Source organism: Homo sapiens, chromosome 1 (assembly GCF_000001405.40).
Source record: "Homo sapiens chromosome 1, GRCh38.p14 Primary Assembly".
NCBI lineage: Eukaryota > Metazoa > Chordata > Mammalia > Primates > Hominidae > Homo > Homo sapiens.
Window position 1 is genome coordinate 167,390,209 of NC_000001.11, and position 17,495 is coordinate 167,407,703.

General features: G+C 37.3%; 1 protein-coding gene across 13 annotated transcripts in view; it reads left to right on the top strand.

Annotated features, from left to right (window-relative positions):
* POU2F1 (POU class 2 homeobox 1) overlaps positions 1 to 17,495 on the top strand; it is a 206,461-nt gene that overhangs the window by 169,324 nt on the left and 19,642 nt on the right. For 12 of the 13 annotated variants that reach the window (NR_037163.2, NM_001365848.1, NM_001365849.1 and 9 more), the window contains 4 exons: positions 6,078 to 6,219; positions 7,786 to 7,925; positions 8,978 to 9,157; positions 11,243 to 11,348. Coding sequence is in view for 12 of the 13 variants with exons in the window: in NM_001365848.1 (NP_001352777.1) it covers positions 6,078 to 6,219; positions 7,786 to 7,925; positions 8,978 to 9,157; positions 11,243 to 11,348 (568 nt within the window). In the remaining variant the exon portion in view is untranslated. Of the gene's footprint in view, positions 1 to 6,077; positions 6,220 to 6,324; positions 6,369 to 7,785; positions 7,926 to 8,977; positions 9,158 to 11,242; positions 11,349 to 17,495 lie in introns of those variants that run through there. The other variant, XM_017001508.3, reaches the window with a different exon arrangement.

Here is a 17,495-nt window from a genome sequence, read left to right on the forward strand (position 1 = left end):
TTTGGTTTTAAACTGCACCTTTTTGTTAGCCTTTTCCTGCATTTTTAATGTATGGTTTAATGTTAGTCTAGAAGCTTTATGATTTCTTTCAGAACACAGGCCTCTGAAATCATAATTATATCACTAAATTGTGAAGACTTTAAAAGATTGTATGGAGGATTTTGTTATTTGAAGAATATCTGGTGGTAGACCTCAGTACTTCATATGTAAGATTGAGAGAGTAAAGATTACGGGGTGTATTATATTAGCTAAAAGGGGAAAAGTTTAGAAGGCTTATTTAAAAACAGTTTTTTGTAGTGGGGGCAGTAGCTCTAATCTGTAATCCCAGCACTTTGGGAGACTGAGGTGGGAGGATTGCTTGAGCCCAGGAGATGGAGACCAGCCTGATCTCTGGTGGGACCCTGTCTCTCCAAAAAGTAAATAAATAAAAAATTTAACTGGGTGTGGTGACGCATGCCTGTAGTCCAAGCTATCAGGAGGCTGAGGTGGGAGGATTGCTTGAGCCCGGGAGGTCGAGGCTGCAGTGAGCCATGATTGCTCCATTGCACTCCAGCCTGGGTGACAGAGCAAGACACTGTCTCTAAAAAGTAAAAATTAATAAAAATTAAAAATAAAAATAACTTTTTGGAAGAGAGAGGGTGATGGAGACAGGCATGCAAGCACAGGCACGCATACTCTCTAAGCCTATGCTAAAACCAGTTAATCGAGCAAGAATCTATAGAAGATGAAAACCCCAAATTAACCAAAATCCAAATTAATTTCCTGGAATTTGTCAGCTAACCGAGGACTTTTAAAGAAGGGTGAATATATTTAATGGTTTAAACAGTTGTCTGGATATGTAGCATTTTTGTTTGTTTTAAGCACTACCACTGACTTACTCTTTGATTAACCTGTCATAAATAATATATTTTTTTAGAGACAGGGTCTCGCTATGTTGGCCAGGTTGGTCTTGAACTCTTGGCCTCAATCAACCCTCCCGCCTTGGCCTCCCAAAGTGCTAGGATTACAGGTGTGAGCCACTGCGCCCAGCCTGCAAATAATACTTTTAAAGCAGGCAAGGAATTAAACTGAATGAAATTTATGTAAAATGGTATAAGATCATTAGGTAAAAAAAAACTGAAGTATGGATTAGACTGGGTGCCTTTATGGAATCAGGAGAAATCTGTTATTTTCTTTCCAGGGAATATAATTTAAAGTTTTTAAGCCACTAGTTAAATATTACTCAAATTATTTTGTGTTGAAAGTACGGTAATGCTCCACCTGGCCTGGTAGGTCAAAATCCAAGGGTAGCATCCCCAAATGTACTATGGGTGTTTTTAAGAACACATTTATATATATCTTTATATATATCTTTTTTTTTTTTTTTTTTTTTTTTTTTTGAGACAGGGCCTTGGTCTGTCACCCAGGCTGGAGTACAGTGGCATGATCACGGCTCACTGCAGCCTTGACCTCCAGGGGTCAAGGGATTCTCCCACTTCTGTCTCCTGAGTAGCTGGGACTCAGGCACACCACCACACCCGGCTAATTTTTGTAGAGACAAGGTCTTGTCATGTTGCCCAAGCTGGTCTCGAACTCCTGGGCTCAACCAAATCCACCCACGTCAGCTTCCCAAAGTGCTAAGATTACAGGTGTGAGCCACCAGGCCCAGCCCAGGCTTATATTTCTTTGGGAATTCATTTTTGCTCAAAGAAATCAATTGTGTTGGGGAATATGTAATGATTTTTTAAATAGGCATGATTTTAGAGGAAATACAGTTACATTTGTGAGGAGTTTGACTTGTGAAGAAGCAAATTATCCAGAAACATTTTAATACTTTCAAAGCATCTTAAATGATCTGACCTGTTTTAAAAAGAAAGCTAGGCCGGGCACAGTGGCTCACACCTGTAATCCCAGCACTTTGGGAGGCCGAGGCAGGTGGATCACCTGAGGTCAGGAGTTCAAGACCAGCCTGGCCAACATGGCGAAACCCCGTCTCTACTAAAAAATACAAAAATTAGCCGGGCGTGCTGGCGGGCGCCTGTAATCCCAGCTAATCAGGAGGCTGAGGCAGGGACAGTGGCTTCAACCTGGGAGGTGGAGGTTGCAGTGAGCCAAGATCACGCCACTGCACACCAGCTTTGGGGGTGACAGAGCCAGACTCTGTCTCAAAAAAAAAAAAAAAGAAAGAAAGAAAGCTAAACATAGAACTAGATTGATATGAGTAAGTTACAAAGCTGAAATAAGTATAAGGTTAGCATATTTAGCAGTGCCTCAAGTTTTAAACTATTAGCACAGCATACTCTGGGGTTCCCTGAGAGATTGTTGCGTAAGTGATATGCCAAAGATGTTAAGGCTTTTAAAAATCCTTATCTTTTACTCAAATAGTGGTTTGCCTTTCTGCATTTGACCCAACATATTGCCAGTGTTATGTTTTTCTCTCCCTCCGCACATCTCTCCAGGTAAAGGAGCTTCCCTATGGTCTGGTGTTTTGTTTTGTGGTTTTATCCTATTTTTTGGCATGACCATTCCTTATTTTTCGAAATGACTTTGAGACAGCAGTGGCAATGGTTCACAAACTTGGACTATGTGGGTTAAAGTACATACTACTGCTGCAGAATGGAAAATCAGTCTATCAACCTCTGTTTTTAAGTCAGATACTTCAATTTTAGTTATTCAAAGGTTGCTCTGTGTCCAATTTATTTATATACACACACAAAGTTTTAGCCATTAAAGTTATTTGCTGAAACAAAAAAAGCTCTATTCTCTGTGTAAATATACACATTATTAGATGTTTTAAAGTTATTTTCTAATTTCATAATTGCTTATTAAAGGATTACCATGGCTGTCTTTGCATAATTAGAAAACATGTCATAGCATAATACATTTATCACATGTGGTACATTCATTATTTCCCAGTCTCAGTTTTTGTTCCTTTTTTGTTATGTTCTTTTTAAAAATATCAAAGGGATATAATATAGTTAAGATTATATATGAATCGACTACTTAAAACATTTACTTTTGTGAGTGATAACCCAAGATGGTTGTGAGTTGGATTATCACGAAAGAGCATTAAACCAAGCCTGTACCGAATTAATGAAAATTAGTATGTTAACTGAGGAGTCTGTTGCTTTTTATTCAATTAAGCAATTTAAATGTGAAATAAAACATATTAATAAATGATAAAGTGAGTTTATTATTTATTATCATGGTTCTAGTTAGTGAATGGCATAGCTTTATTTCCAGCCACCACCTTAAAGTATCATTTCTTATAATTACTGTCATGATTTTTTAATATATATTTTATTTACTTATTTATTTATTTTTTTTAGAGAGAGGGTCTCACTCTCTTGGCTCTGGCTGGAGTGCAGTGGCACAATTATAGCTCACTGCAGCCTCAAACTTCTGGGGTCAAGTGATCCTCCCACCTCAGCCTTCCAAGTATCTGGGACTACAGGCACATGCACCACACACAGCTAATTTTTTTGTGTTTGGTAGAGATGGGGCCTTCTGTTTCCAAGGCTGTTGACTTATTTTTTGCTTGTTAAATTGTTACTTTTATAATAAGACAGAAGTTTGTGAAAATTTGTAGCTTATTGTGCAGTTACTATGCCAGAAAACACTTATTGCCATCTAACTGCTACATAAGTTTATATACTCAAAGAATTGCAAGGTTTAGTTGGCACCAGCTGTAATCTAAACAAGCTGACCATGACATGAATATATGTGATACACAATGCATAAGTTCAATGCTTGACATATAGTAGGCACTTAGTGAATATTTGATTGAATGAAGTAACATTTTATTTTATTTTATTTTATTTTATTTTATTTTATTTTATTTATTTTTTTGAGACAGAGTCTCACTTTGTCACCCAGGCTGGAGTGCAGTGGCATGATCTCGGCTCACTGCAACCTCTGCCTCCCAGGTTTCAAGCAGTTCTCGTGCCTCAGCCTTCTGAGTAGCTGGGATTACAGGGGTGTGCCACCACACCCAACTAATTTTTGTATTTTTAACAGAGACGGGGGTTTTGCCATGTTGGCCAGGCTGGTCTCGAACTCCTGACCTCAAATAATCCACCCGCCTGGGCCTCTTAAAGTGCTGGGATTACAGTTGTGAGCCACCGTGCCCTGCCTGAATGAAGTAACATTTTAATAAATATATAGAGATACAGGTATAGATAAACATAATCATCTGTGTCTTTAGACATATTTGTATACAGTATAATGGATAGCATTTATGCCCTGCTCACCACTGATTCTGATTCTTGCAGTTTTATGGTAATTGGAATGAAATCAATAAACAGTCTACTTCAGTATATTCAGAACTGTCATTAAAACTTTCTGTGATGATGGGGTGTTCTGTACATTGGACATGGGATGTCCAATACAATAGCCACTGTCTACTTATGGCTATTGAGCACTTGGAAGGGCTAGTGATGCTGAAGAACTGAATTTTTAATTTATTGGGTTTTAATTAATTTAAATAGCCACTTGTGGCTGGTGGCTATATGGGAAGGCAGAGGATATCAATCACTTGAAGTTCAGGTATTCTGGGTGCCTCATTTTGTCTTACATTTCAATATTTCTCATCTGTTAAACTTTTTATCAGAAGTTGCTCACCAAAAAGAAAATGGGGTTTTAAAAATATGTTACTTTTTTAACCCAACTACCACCTAATAAAAAATGTAGTATTCAATGTGCTAATAAAAAATGTAGTGTTCAAAAGATGGATTTAGGGGTAGGGGGGAATCAAAAGACTGGGATAATCCCAGTTCAAACAAGTGTTGCCAGGATAGTTGAGAGTTGGCTGTCTCATAGTAGGATTAGTTGTATAGTACTTTGGACCAGAAATGATGTTGCCTTTCTGCCCTGTCACTAAACTAATTGAAATGAATGGGTGAATCATTTAAACTCCGTGAGCCTCTGTTTCCTGTATATAAAGCAACTATCTTACGCTTTTTTCCCAGTTTGATCAAGAGAGATTCAGCAAGAAGAAAAGCTCTGTATACATTTCAAAGGTTATAGGCTTATAGAGAAAGACATCTTTTGTAATATATTCAGGGCATCATTGTTCTATTGCTATAAGGTTACTAAGTTTCCATTGCCCATGAAGGTTTGACTAAATGGGTCAAACCTCTCTACTGTGAATTTCTATTTCTATGATGGTTACAAAAGTAGTCTTTTAGAATACCTGTTTTTTGTAACTAACTTTGAAATCCAAACTAGGAGTGAAAATAGATTTTTTTTTCACTGCGTCCAGAAATACTTGATAGGGAAAAGAAGAAAAGAGATGATTTCTAATTTTTAAAGTGATTTTTGGGAAGTTTGATTAGTTCGTAAATATCTTGGGTTATCTAGAGAGTTATACATAATATCTGTAGGTGATACAGATAAATTTATTTTTATTTTTCTTTTTTAAATTTTTTTCTTTTTTTGAGACAGGATCTCGCTCTGTCACCCAGACTGGAGTGCGGTGCCATGATCACGGCTTGCTACCGCCTTGACCTCCTGGGCTCAAGCGATCCTTCCACCTCAGCCTCCCAAATGGCTAGGACTACAGGCACACGCCACCATACCTGCCTAATATTTGTATTTTTTGTAGATGTTTTGCCATGTTCTCCAGGCTGGTCTGGAAATCCTGGGCTCAAGCATTCCACCCATGTAGGCCTAGGCTTCCCAAAATGCTGGGATTAAAGGTGTGAGCCACTGTGCCCAGACCAGATAAATACATTTTTAAAAATTACTTAAATCACTTTGGTTGTATCAATTAAGGGGCTTGTTAGAATATTAGCACTATTTTTGATACCTAGTTGAAATTTTGGTATCTCCATGATTACATAAGGTGGCAAGAAGAGATTCAAAATGGGAAAGTATGTGGGACAGTATTGAACATTGTAACGATCAGGCCTAAAAGAGTCCTCACAGTAACACTGTGACTGGCTTAGGGATGGAGTTTATGTGGGACCCCGTAAGTGGAATAATTACTGACTCCTTGTCTAAAGCAGTTATTGGAGCAACACCCCAGAGTGAAGGCTTTAAGCACTGGTGAGATAACTCTGTCTTTCCTCTCCTCTTCTCCTGCTCTGTATTGTGTGTAGGGTGATGTTGGGCTCGCTATGGGGAAACTATATGGAAATGACTTCAGCCAAACTACCATCTCTCGATTTGAAGCCTTGAACCTCAGCTTTAAGAACATGTGCAAGTTGAAGCCACTTTTAGAGAAGTGGCTAAATGATGCAGGTAAGTGACTGTATAAGACATTTCTTTGTCATTCATTGGAATTTTACATGGGGATTGTTATATAAATTGGGGTTTATATTTCTTACTCTATTTTTGTTGTTACAGAACCTTGAAGCTTACTAATCCTGGGAGGATCATTATAAATTATGGTGATATAAATCAGAAAGCTGATTCATTTAAATATTCTAGTAATTACAGTATAAATAATTAGCCGTAATTTTTAGCCTGAAATACTCTTGTATTTGAGCCAGGATTAGGAACACACACACACACACACACACAGTTGAAGGAATAGGATAAGTAAGGCTTTTGTATTTAGATAAGCTTGAAGTAGAAGCTTATTGTTTCTTCCTTGATGAATTATCATAGAACTTGTTCTTGCAATAGTTCTGCTTTTGTTATTTCAAATGACCACACATTTCATTCAGAAAAGTTGGACTACTAGCTTTGTCTTACGTTTTTTTGTGCTGAGAGTTCCTTTTGGAAGATTGGAATTTTGAGTCACAGGATCATAGACTATGAAAGCTGTAGGAGTCATGTAGATCCCTTAAACTATGGTTCTTATTGTAGATATGAACAAAAATTAGGCCTTTGGAAAAGACAAACCTGAAACACGCATCCTTGGACAGTTTTATTCAGTAGCTATGGGTGAGGCCTAGGCATCTGTTTCCCAAGTCCACAGATAAGAACCACTGGTTTACTGTTTCCATCTTATTTTACGTGTAGCAGAAACAAACTCAGATGTGTATGACATGCCCAAGGTTATTAAACTGTGAAATTATAGAACCCTGTGATTTAACTTCAGAGAATTTATAAATATTTCATTTGTTTCTTTTCTTTTTACCCTAGATTATACCAATAAAATGAGAGGCCATTTACAAGATAAATATTAAACGTTCAGTAATTTCTAAGAAACTTTCTTCCTTTTATCCCCAGAACTTATAAACAAACAGAACTGGAGACATAGAGCTGAGTTTAAGGATAGGAATAGTAAACCTCTTCTGTCTCAGAAACAGAAATCCAAACATAGTGGTAATATTGTCAACCATCCTAGCAGAAAGAATGCCAATAAGGGCAGCAGAAATATCCATGGTAGTAAATATATATATATTGGGGGGATGGGTGGTGGGTAGGGGGAGACATGGTCTCACTCTGTTGTCCAGGCTGGAGTGCAGTGGCACCATCTCAGGTCACTGCAGCCTCCACCTCCCAGGTTCAAGTGATTCTCCTGCCTCAGCCTCCCAAGTAACTGGGACCACAGGCGCACGCCACTGTGCCCAGCTAATTTTTGTATTTTTGGTAGAGATGGGGTTTCACCATTTAGCCAGGCTGGTCTTGAACTCCTGACCTCAAGTGATCCTCCCGCCTCAGCCTCCCAAAGTGCTGGGATTACAGGTGTGAACCACCATGCCCGGCCAATAAGCAATATTGTAATGTAGGTTATGTGAAAACCTTTTCATACTTGGATGTAGCTTATTTTGTCAGTTTTGTTGTTAATATGCATATTATGCACATGAATCACTGTGCTCAGCTAATTTTATTTCTGTATTTTCTTCATTCTTACAGAGAACCTCTCATCTGATTCGTCCCTCTCCAGCCCAAGTGCCCTGAATTCTCCAGGAATTGAGGGCTTGAGCCGTAGGAGGAAGAAACGCACCAGCATAGAGACCAACATCCGTGTGGCCTTAGAGAAGAGTTTCTTGGAGGTCAGTGAGGATTTTACTTTTCTGTACATGGGATTGTCTGTGTAGTACTTAACATTAGTACTTAGTAGAAACTGTAGGTGGTAAAAGATGACATGTCAGCCTCTGCTCTTATGGATGATTATAAATAGGTGAAGTAAGTAAGTTACTAACATAGGAGACAGAACCAGAGTTCTGCAGGGTTCAGGAGAGACTAGAATCACATCCATGCAAGCACTCAGTATGAGAGAGGTGGCAGCTTACCATAGGATACATAGGAATTAATTCCACAGACTAGAAAAGGTGGGGGGAAAGTACTTTAAGCAGAGGAAATGCATGAGCGTTTCCCCCTCAGAGTGGGGGAGAAACACTGGAGTGAGGGAAACCATAGGGTGTATGAGGAGACACTCTAGTAGATTGGTTGGTTAAATTGTAGTGTCTGTATGCCTGGAATAGTAGTTTGGGACTGGAACACTAGAGACCTTGAGTGTTAGGCTATGGAGCTTAAGTTAATGCAAGAGATATTTGGCAATTATTTTTTTGTACCAGGTAATATCATAACAAAGCTTTTAAGAAAATTTTGACTTCTCTAATTCAGAAAAGACTTGAGCACATTGGGAGGACTCTGAATTAGGAGTTTTTGTCAGCTCTGCCACTTAAACTGTGTGATTGGGCAAATCATGTGATTTCTTTAAGCTAAAGGTCCTTCATTGTGAAATACCTGCCTTTCTTACTGTGAGATCCAAATTAGATAGCATGAAGCATGGAGAAAGGTTAAATTCCTACTAATACATGTGGTTGTACTGGTATTTTGTTAATTTCATTCACAATTAATAGATCTTAAAAATGAAAAACTATAGATATTTAAGGATAACTTATCCTAAGTTAATATGAATAAGTTTAATAGGTGTATGTTCATTAGAACTTCTATCTACACAATCTCTTTGTTGAAAGTGGCCTAATGTGGATGGTCATATGTATCCCAGCTTCATTTTCTAACCTGACGTGATTATGCCAGTAGTTCAAAAAGTTATTGCAAAGGATAGCTTTTGGAATTACATCTTTTCACCCTGCAGAATCAAAAGCCTACCTCGGAAGAGATCACTATGATTGCTGATCAGCTCAATATGGAAAAAGAGGTGATTCGTGTTTGGTTCTGTAACCGCCGCCAGAAAGAAAAAAGAATCAACCCACCAAGCAGTGGTGGGACCAGCAGCTCACCTATTAAAGCAATTTTCCCCAGCCCAACTTCACTGGTAAGAATAAAAAATAGGGAGTGCAAGCTCAAGGGCTAATTTTTGCAATTTTACAAATGACCTGTTAAATCAGTTTATTTCATAATAGTAATTTAATGAATAAATACATCAAATAAATGCATGTAAATTTGTATTTTAGACATTACCAAGGTAATGAAATTCTCATTCTCTCTTTCCTTGTCTCTCGTGCTCTCTCTCTCTCTCTGCTGAGGTCACTGGTCTTGAGGTGCCCCTGCATGGAGGGTGAAATCTCGTGTTGTTATTAACCCAAGAACTTATTGGTCTTGCTTATTTTTTATTTATTTTTCTATTTATTTTATTTTTTTGAGACAGAGTCTCATTCCATCACCCAGGCTGGAGTGCATTGGTGCGATCTTGGCTCACTGCAACCTCCGCCTCCTGGGTTCAAGCGATTCTTGTGCCTTGGCCTCCCGAGTAGCTGGGATTATAGACGTGTACCACCATTCCCGGCTAATTTTTTGTACTCTTAGCAGAAGCAGGGTTTCACTATGTTGGCCAGGCTGGTCTTGAACTCCTGACCTCAAGTGATCCCTTGGCCTCCCAAAGTGCTGGGATTACGGGTGTGAGCCACCATTCCCAGTCTTTTTTTTTTTTTTTTTTTTTTTTTTTTTGTTGAGACAGAGTTTCACTCTTGTTGCCCAGGCTGGAGTGCAATGGTACGATTTCAGCTCACTGCAACCTCCGCCTCCTGGGTTCAAGCGATTCTCCTGCCTCAGCCTCCCAAAGTAGCTGGGATTACAGGCGCCCGCCACCAGACCCAGCTAATTTTTTTGTATTTTTAGTTGAGACCAGGGTTTCATCATGTTCTCCAGGCTGGTCTTGAACTCCTGACCTCAGGTGATCCACCTGCCTCAGCCTCCCAAAGTCCCAACGTGCTGGGATTACAGGTGTGAGCCACTGCGCCCAGCCCACCTATCTTATTTTTTAAAGTGAACAATTTTAATTCTTTCATCACATTTCCATCATACTCTTCTCTGGTATAGTTCATTAGATTACTCTGTAACCATGGGAGTAAATTTGCTGCTGATCCCAGTTATCTCAGAAAATCTTGTTACTTTTTATTCATGTTGAGTCCTAAAGCCCAGTTTATTAAACTTACACTCACGTGATTAAGTGACAATAAGTTACCAGATAACCTTCAGTTCTGAACTTGTATTAAAACAATCATCTCAGGTCTTTTACTTTGAAACAACATATGATCCTTTCCTGTGAAGCCTCATTGAGTAACTTCTGCTGTTTGCATTATTCCTAGACTGAAGAGACATACAGTGGTCGTATGACTCCCTTGGTTTTTAGGATGATTATGAATTTGACTTCTACATTGTCAGGATTCAAAAGATGGGAATATTGTTGAGTTTGCATTTCTGTTCTTTTTAAATTTGGTTTTATTTTATTTGAATGTCATTCCATACTGGCAGGCTTTTTAAACTAAGGTCAGCATTAAAAGCACATGTTAGTTTATGTGAAGGTTGTAGTTGTTAAATGGTGGGCCTGTAGTCATAAAGTTATGAGATAGTTATGAAAAAGATAATTATTAATCAACAATTTTGTTTTGTAAAGGTGATGTTTGTGTTTTAGATTTGTACTAAAAGAAAGACAGTATTTCTTGCAAAACTAGAATTTTTTGTTATTTCAAAACTAATCCGTTTTTTTTAAAAGTTTGCTTCACATTATTTTCATAATTTTATTTTATTAAAACCAAACCTAAGGCAATACTGCCCCCCTACAGAGTCAAAAGTAAAAGTAATACATGTACCCCAGATTCCCTGATCCTGTCAAATAGTTTTCTTATTTAGGTAAAGTTGATAATTAGTATAATGTTTCTTACCGACTTAGAGTATATCTGTCTCAACGCTATTGAAATTTACGAACTTTTTATTATTTATTTTTAAAACCCAGGCAAAGCTATCTGTGATATCAGTGAACAACCATCTTCGAATAGCAGCTTTCCAACATAGGATGTCAGGTGTCTCAATTCCAAGATCAAAGAAAGACTGTAAAATCATTTCCTCTTTAAGTTTTGATTTTAAGTGCTTTGTCCATGTTTTCATTTCTGACCTCAAGGTGGCGACCACACCAAGCCTTGTGACTAGCAGTGCAGCAACTACCCTCACAGTCAGCCCTGTCCTCCCTCTGACCAGTGCTGCTGTGACGAATCTTTCAGTTACAGGTAAGCAGCTGCCAGGCCATGCACCTGCTGAGCACATGGGAGGCCCGTTTTGGGTTATTATAAGAGTCTACCATTAAATTGTGAATTAAGGCCCTAACTAAAGATAGGTGTTGCTCATAAATATCAATTTTCTTTAAAGTAACTCCTTTCCTTAAAAGCCTTCAATAGCCGTGGCTTTTTGCATTCAGAAAAACCTCCAAGTTTGTCAATTCGTGAAGGTTATTTCCGGTCTGAACCTGATCTCCCACTAGTCTTTTGCCTACGCACCCTCAACACACAGGAGGCCTCCATCCATACCTTTGTAAACATCCCTACAATGGAAATGTCCATCTTAGCCTGCAGTTCTTGATCTGTTACTGATAAAACTATACCAGCTTGTATGTCAATTTTCTTGGAAATATTCTTTAGCTTTCCCAGGAAACTATTCATTTCCATGTACCTGTATTATAAATGATTTTATTTTTACACACCTGTCTTTCCCAATAGACTGCACTTCTCAAAAGATTTGATTATTCTTTTTGAACTCTTGATGCCTAGCTCAGTGCATGACATACTCACTATAAAATGAATGTTTTTTTTTCCTTTGGCCTCTTTTAAATAGCAAATTTTCCAGATAAATTTAAAATCACTTAGCATTGTCATCAGATGTTTTTTAGTGATACATAGTGCATAAGACATGCTGTAATTATTCACCAGGTTGGTTATTTGCTAGTACATCATTGGGTAGATTAATGATATTTCATAATGAAGCTTGATTTAACCTAGAGGTAGGGACTTTTATTTTTCTCACCCATGTTTTAAGTTTACAATGCCTCCTTGGCTCTATGACCTACCCATGATGTAAAAATTGAATAAATGGCTTTATATTATATTAAATTTCTACATTATTAGAACATTTTGTTTATTGTTTTCTGCATCCAATCATCCATTAATTTTTGCTTATGTTAAACAGTACTTCTTGACCTCTTCTGGATGTTGGACCTTTTTAAGAATTTGAAAGCTACAGACTTTTCCTCACACAAAATAGACATATACACAATTTTTAGTAAAATTTAAGGAGATTTATAAATGACAGCTCCCATCAACCTCCCACTCCAAGGCTATTTGTGGATACCTACAGGTTCCAGTTTTAATAACCTTGGTTCAAGAATATACTTAAGAACCTTGGTTAAGAATATATATAATATTGAGCACTTCCACTTAATAAGCAAACTGTTAGTGATTGATTGGCATTGTGTTGGGCACCAAGAATGTGAAGAACCATCTCTGAGGACCTTGTTGTCCAAATTGACTGCCAGTCACCTGGTAAATTATGAACTGAATCCTACCTTCCCAACAAATTATATTGCTTTAGGTCTAAAAATACCTGTCTCTTACAGAAATTTTGTTAATAGTTTACACATTAAGAACAAATAGCTTTGCAGTTTTCTTAAAATATGGGGAAAATCAAAGTAATTTTAGAGAGATTTTAATACTCAAAACTAGCTAAAAATTTGCATCAGTTTTTGATACTTCTTACCACTCACATTTTCTTGAACTCTTACTCAGCCTATTTATGTGGATCTATTTGTGATTTTTTTCTGACACGTTGATAATTTTTCCTGGAGTGAATTTTTTTTAATTATTAAAAACATTATTAGGAAATTCAAACAGGAAAAACAATCACAAGTACCATTTTTATTTTCTCTTTAAATCCTTTTTATATGTACATGTATGTACAGTTTCAGTAGTATTTGTGCAGTACAGTATTTGATTGCAGCCTTGTGATACTCTAAGCAGAGGACTCAGGCTCTGCCTGGACACCTGACCCACAAAAACTATGAGATAATAAATTGTGATGATTTAAGCTGCCGAATTTGTGTCATTGCTCCTTGAAAGAGAAGAAGAGTCAGTGTCAAGTGGGTTTTCTTTTCTTACTCTTTTATCAGCCGTTGCTCAAAACCATGCCCCTTTTTAATTTGTTTTTCCTCTTTGGACTGTAACTTTCTTGTACAGCCTCTTTTCCTCTGATATTTTTATACTGCCTTCTTTTTTTCTCTGTTGAGAAAAGTAGCATGTTTCTTTATCATGTTATTTATTAAAGACGGCCATTGTCTTAATCATACAACTTATGTAATGCAATCTGCTTTCTTCCTGAAGACTTTCTTCTTGGGATTTCTATGATTGCTTATTTTAAATTGTTTTCCTTGTTTTCCTGAGTTAGATCCAATGTTTCTCAGATGCCCTGTCATCCTCTTTGATTCCTTTTTGTCTGGAGCACGTTCTCAAGTAATTTTATTTAGAAAGGTTACATGGGAGGTAAAACTTCTAAATACATGTATAACTGAGAAGTATTTATTTTGCCTTCACAGTATTTTTTGGAGTTTGTCCAGTTACAAAAGTATTTTTCCTTTGAATTTTGTTGTGTTTTAGCATCTAGTGTTGCTAGTGAAAAGTCTGATTTCAATCTCTTTTTCCTTGTTTTTTCTCTCTGTAAACCTTAAGGGTTTTTTAAAATCTTATACTGTTCTAAAATTTCACTACAAGGTTTCAAAGAAGGGGCCTTTTAAAACTTGCCCTCATTGGCCTTCAGCAAGCATTTTCAATGTGAATTAATGTATTTCTTGCACTCTGGTAATTTATCTTTTTTTTTTTTTAAGTTAGGATTTTTTGGCATTCACTCTGTTTATTCATTTTGTGTCATTTGTAATGTGCTGTTGGCTTTTTTCATTGTCTGGTGATTTTTGTAGTGATGAATGCAAGATTACATTACTTATTATCAGTAGCCTGTAAGGGTTTTTCCTGACATTGTGTAGCTTCTGTTACTCAAGAGTCCCCTCCCCTGAATGGAAGGGCTCGCGGTGAGCTGTGAATGTGAATAAAGAACTGCCAAACTTTATTTCAGCCTATGAACAGGAAGCAGGCAGGCAAGCGAGGCTTTCTGTCATACTTTTCCAAAATGAGGGGTATCTTTCCTCATGCATGCAAGTACCTACACTAGAATCCTTAGCGTTCCATAGTCAGATTTTATTTTCTTTCAAGAGTAGGTGACTTTGGTTCTGTTCATTTGAGAGGTCTGGTAGAAGGAGGGAAAGGCCCACTGTGAGAGCTATTATGTGAATAGCCCTTGAATCACCCTGTTCTCTGACCCTATTTCCATCTACCTCAGTATCTGACAAATAACTCTGAGCTGGGACTCTCTGTGAGGCTCCATCAGAGTGAATAATTTCCTCCTCTATCATAGTCTTCTCCTGTGCCCTTCTGGATTATGGTTGATTTCTCCACCATCCAGTTTTATCCTTTTTCTCATTTCTGCAAATCTGTCTAAATCTCAAAACCTCTGATACCTGTCACCAGAGCTCTTTTTCCCTTTTGTATCTCTTTACTATTATTTGGAATAGGATTTTAGAAATGAAGGGAAAAACCATATCCTTAGCACTATCTTCTAAGAAAAATCATGTTTGATTGATGTGGTCATCTTATTTTCCCATAGGTACGTTTGACACATAATAGGTCCTTGGTAAACATTCTAAAATAGATGCAAGTGAGCATTGCCATACTCCTCCAGAAAGACGAGTGTTCCATTGTGTCTCAAAAACTTGTAAAAATTCCACAGCCCTTAATAATCTCAACCAAACATGCCCCGCCCCCAATTCATTTTCCAAAATATTTTTCATAGTGACAAAATTGTTGATTCCTCAGGAAGATATAGCAACTATAATTATATAGCCACCTTAACAACAAAGGCCCAAGATACAGGAAACAAAAAGGAATAAAATTCAAAGAAGAAATAGACAATTCAACAATAACAGTTGCAGACATAGTATTTATTTGAGCCACGTTAAAAAAAAAAAAATTCAGGCCATGTGCAGTGGCTTATGCCTATAATCCCAGCACTTTGGTAGGCCAAGGTGAAAGGATCGCTTGGGTCCAGGAGTTCAAAACCTGCCTGGGCAACATAGTAAGACCTTGTCTCTACAAAAAAAAAAAAAAATGAGCAAAATTAGCCAGGCGTGGTGGCACGTGCCTATAGTCCTAGCTGCTCGGGAGGCTGAGGTGGGAGGGTCACTTGAGCCTGGAAAGTTGAGGCTGCAATAAGCTGAGATTGTACCACTGAACTCCAGCTTGAGAACAGAGCGAGACCCTGTTTGGGGGAAAATAAAAAAAAGCCGTGAAGGATATACAACATTTGAGCACTATCAACCAACTTGTTCTAACTGCCATCTGCAGAACACTTGGTCCAGCAACAGCAGAAAACACATCCTTTTTATGTACACATGGAACATCCATCTCCCAGGATACTTTTAGCCATAAAACAAGTTTCAGTAAATTAAAAAGGATTAAAATCATACAAAGTGTGTTGTCTGATGACAACTGAGATAAACTAGAAATTAACAATAGAAAGAAATTTGGGAAGTCCCCATGTATTTGAAAATTAAAACATGCATCAAAGAAGAAATAACATTTCTCCTCTATTTTCCTATCAGGCCGGTATTACCCAGATACCTAAGCTTAGATAAATAGCACAAGAAAAAAAAATTACAAACTCATATTCCTCGAGAAAATATAAACCAAAACTCTCAAAAGAATCTTAGCAAGTCAAATCCAGCAACATACTGAAAAAATCGAACGATTATATACATCATGGCCAAGGAGGATTTATCTCCCAGGAATGTATGGTTAGTACAATAACTGAACATCAATTAATGTAACACATTATAATAGTAGAAGAAAGGACAAAAACCACATAATCATCTCAGTGGATACAGAAAAGATATTTGTAAAAATCCAAAACCCATTCATGATGAAAGCTGAAATACAAAGGAACTGCCTCACCTGATAAAGAGCACTTACTAAAACTCTCCAGCAAATAGAATACTTAATGGCAAAAGACTGAATACTTTCCCCACTAAGATTGAGAATTAGGTAAGAGTGTTTGTTTGCTCTTGTGGACTTCTGATTAACATCGTCCTGGAGGTTATAGCCTCCAGTAAGGGGGAGAAAAAAAACGGAAGACAATTTGGAAAGGAAGAAGTTAAACTGCTTGTATTTGCATTATTCTATATGTATAAAAATACTAAGGAATTCACCAAAAAAAGGTATCTAGGACTAATCAATAAATTCAGTATTGTTGCAGAATACAAGATTGATATATAAAAAATAAATTACATTTGTATGTACTATCAATGGACAGTTCAAAAATGAAATTTAGGAAATAACTTGTATGTAACAGTATCAAAAGAATAAAATACTTAGGAATAAACTTAAAAGAAGTGTAAGACTTGAACAATGAAAACTACAATTTGCTGAAAGAAGTTAAAAGAAGTCTAAATAAAGAGACATTTCATATTCCATGTTCATGTTTTGGAAGACTAAGCATTCTTAAGATGACAGTTTTTCTCCAGCTTGAGATATATGTGCATCTCTCTTTCTCTCTGATTTCAAGGTTTATCCACATTATAGCATAAATATATATTTTTTTATTTTATTTATTTTATATATTTTATTATTATTATTATTTGTTTTCGAGACAGGGTATTGCCCTATCACAGTGGCGCAATCACATTTCACTGCAGCCTCAACTTCCCAGGCTCAAGCAGTCCTCCCACTTCAGCCTCCCCGGTAGCTGGGACTATAGCCACATGCCACCCGCCCAGCTAATATTTGTATTTTTTGTAGAGACGAGGTTTTGCCATATTGCCCAGGCTGGTCTCGAACTCCTGGGCTCAAGCAATTCACCCACCTTGGCCTCCCAAAGTGCTGGGATTACAGGCATGAGCCACCATGCTCAGTCTTCCAGCTTGATTTATAGATTCAACAAAATCATAGTAAAAATTCCAACAGGTTTTTTCTTTGTTTTGTTTTAAAGAAATCGATAAACTCTTGGAAGGGACCAAGAATAGCCAAAACAATTTTGAGAAAGAGTGAAATCAGAGGATTTTCATGTCCTAATTTCAAAGTTTACTGTAAAGCAACAATAATCAAAGCAGTGTATTACTGGTATACATATAGATATATAGATTAAATGGAACAAAATTAAGAGTCCAGAAGCAAAACTTTAAATTTATGCTTTATTGATTTTTGACAGAGGTGCCAAGGCAATTCAATAGGGAAAGGACAGTCTTCAACAAATGGTTCTAGGACAACTGGATATCCATATGCAGAAAG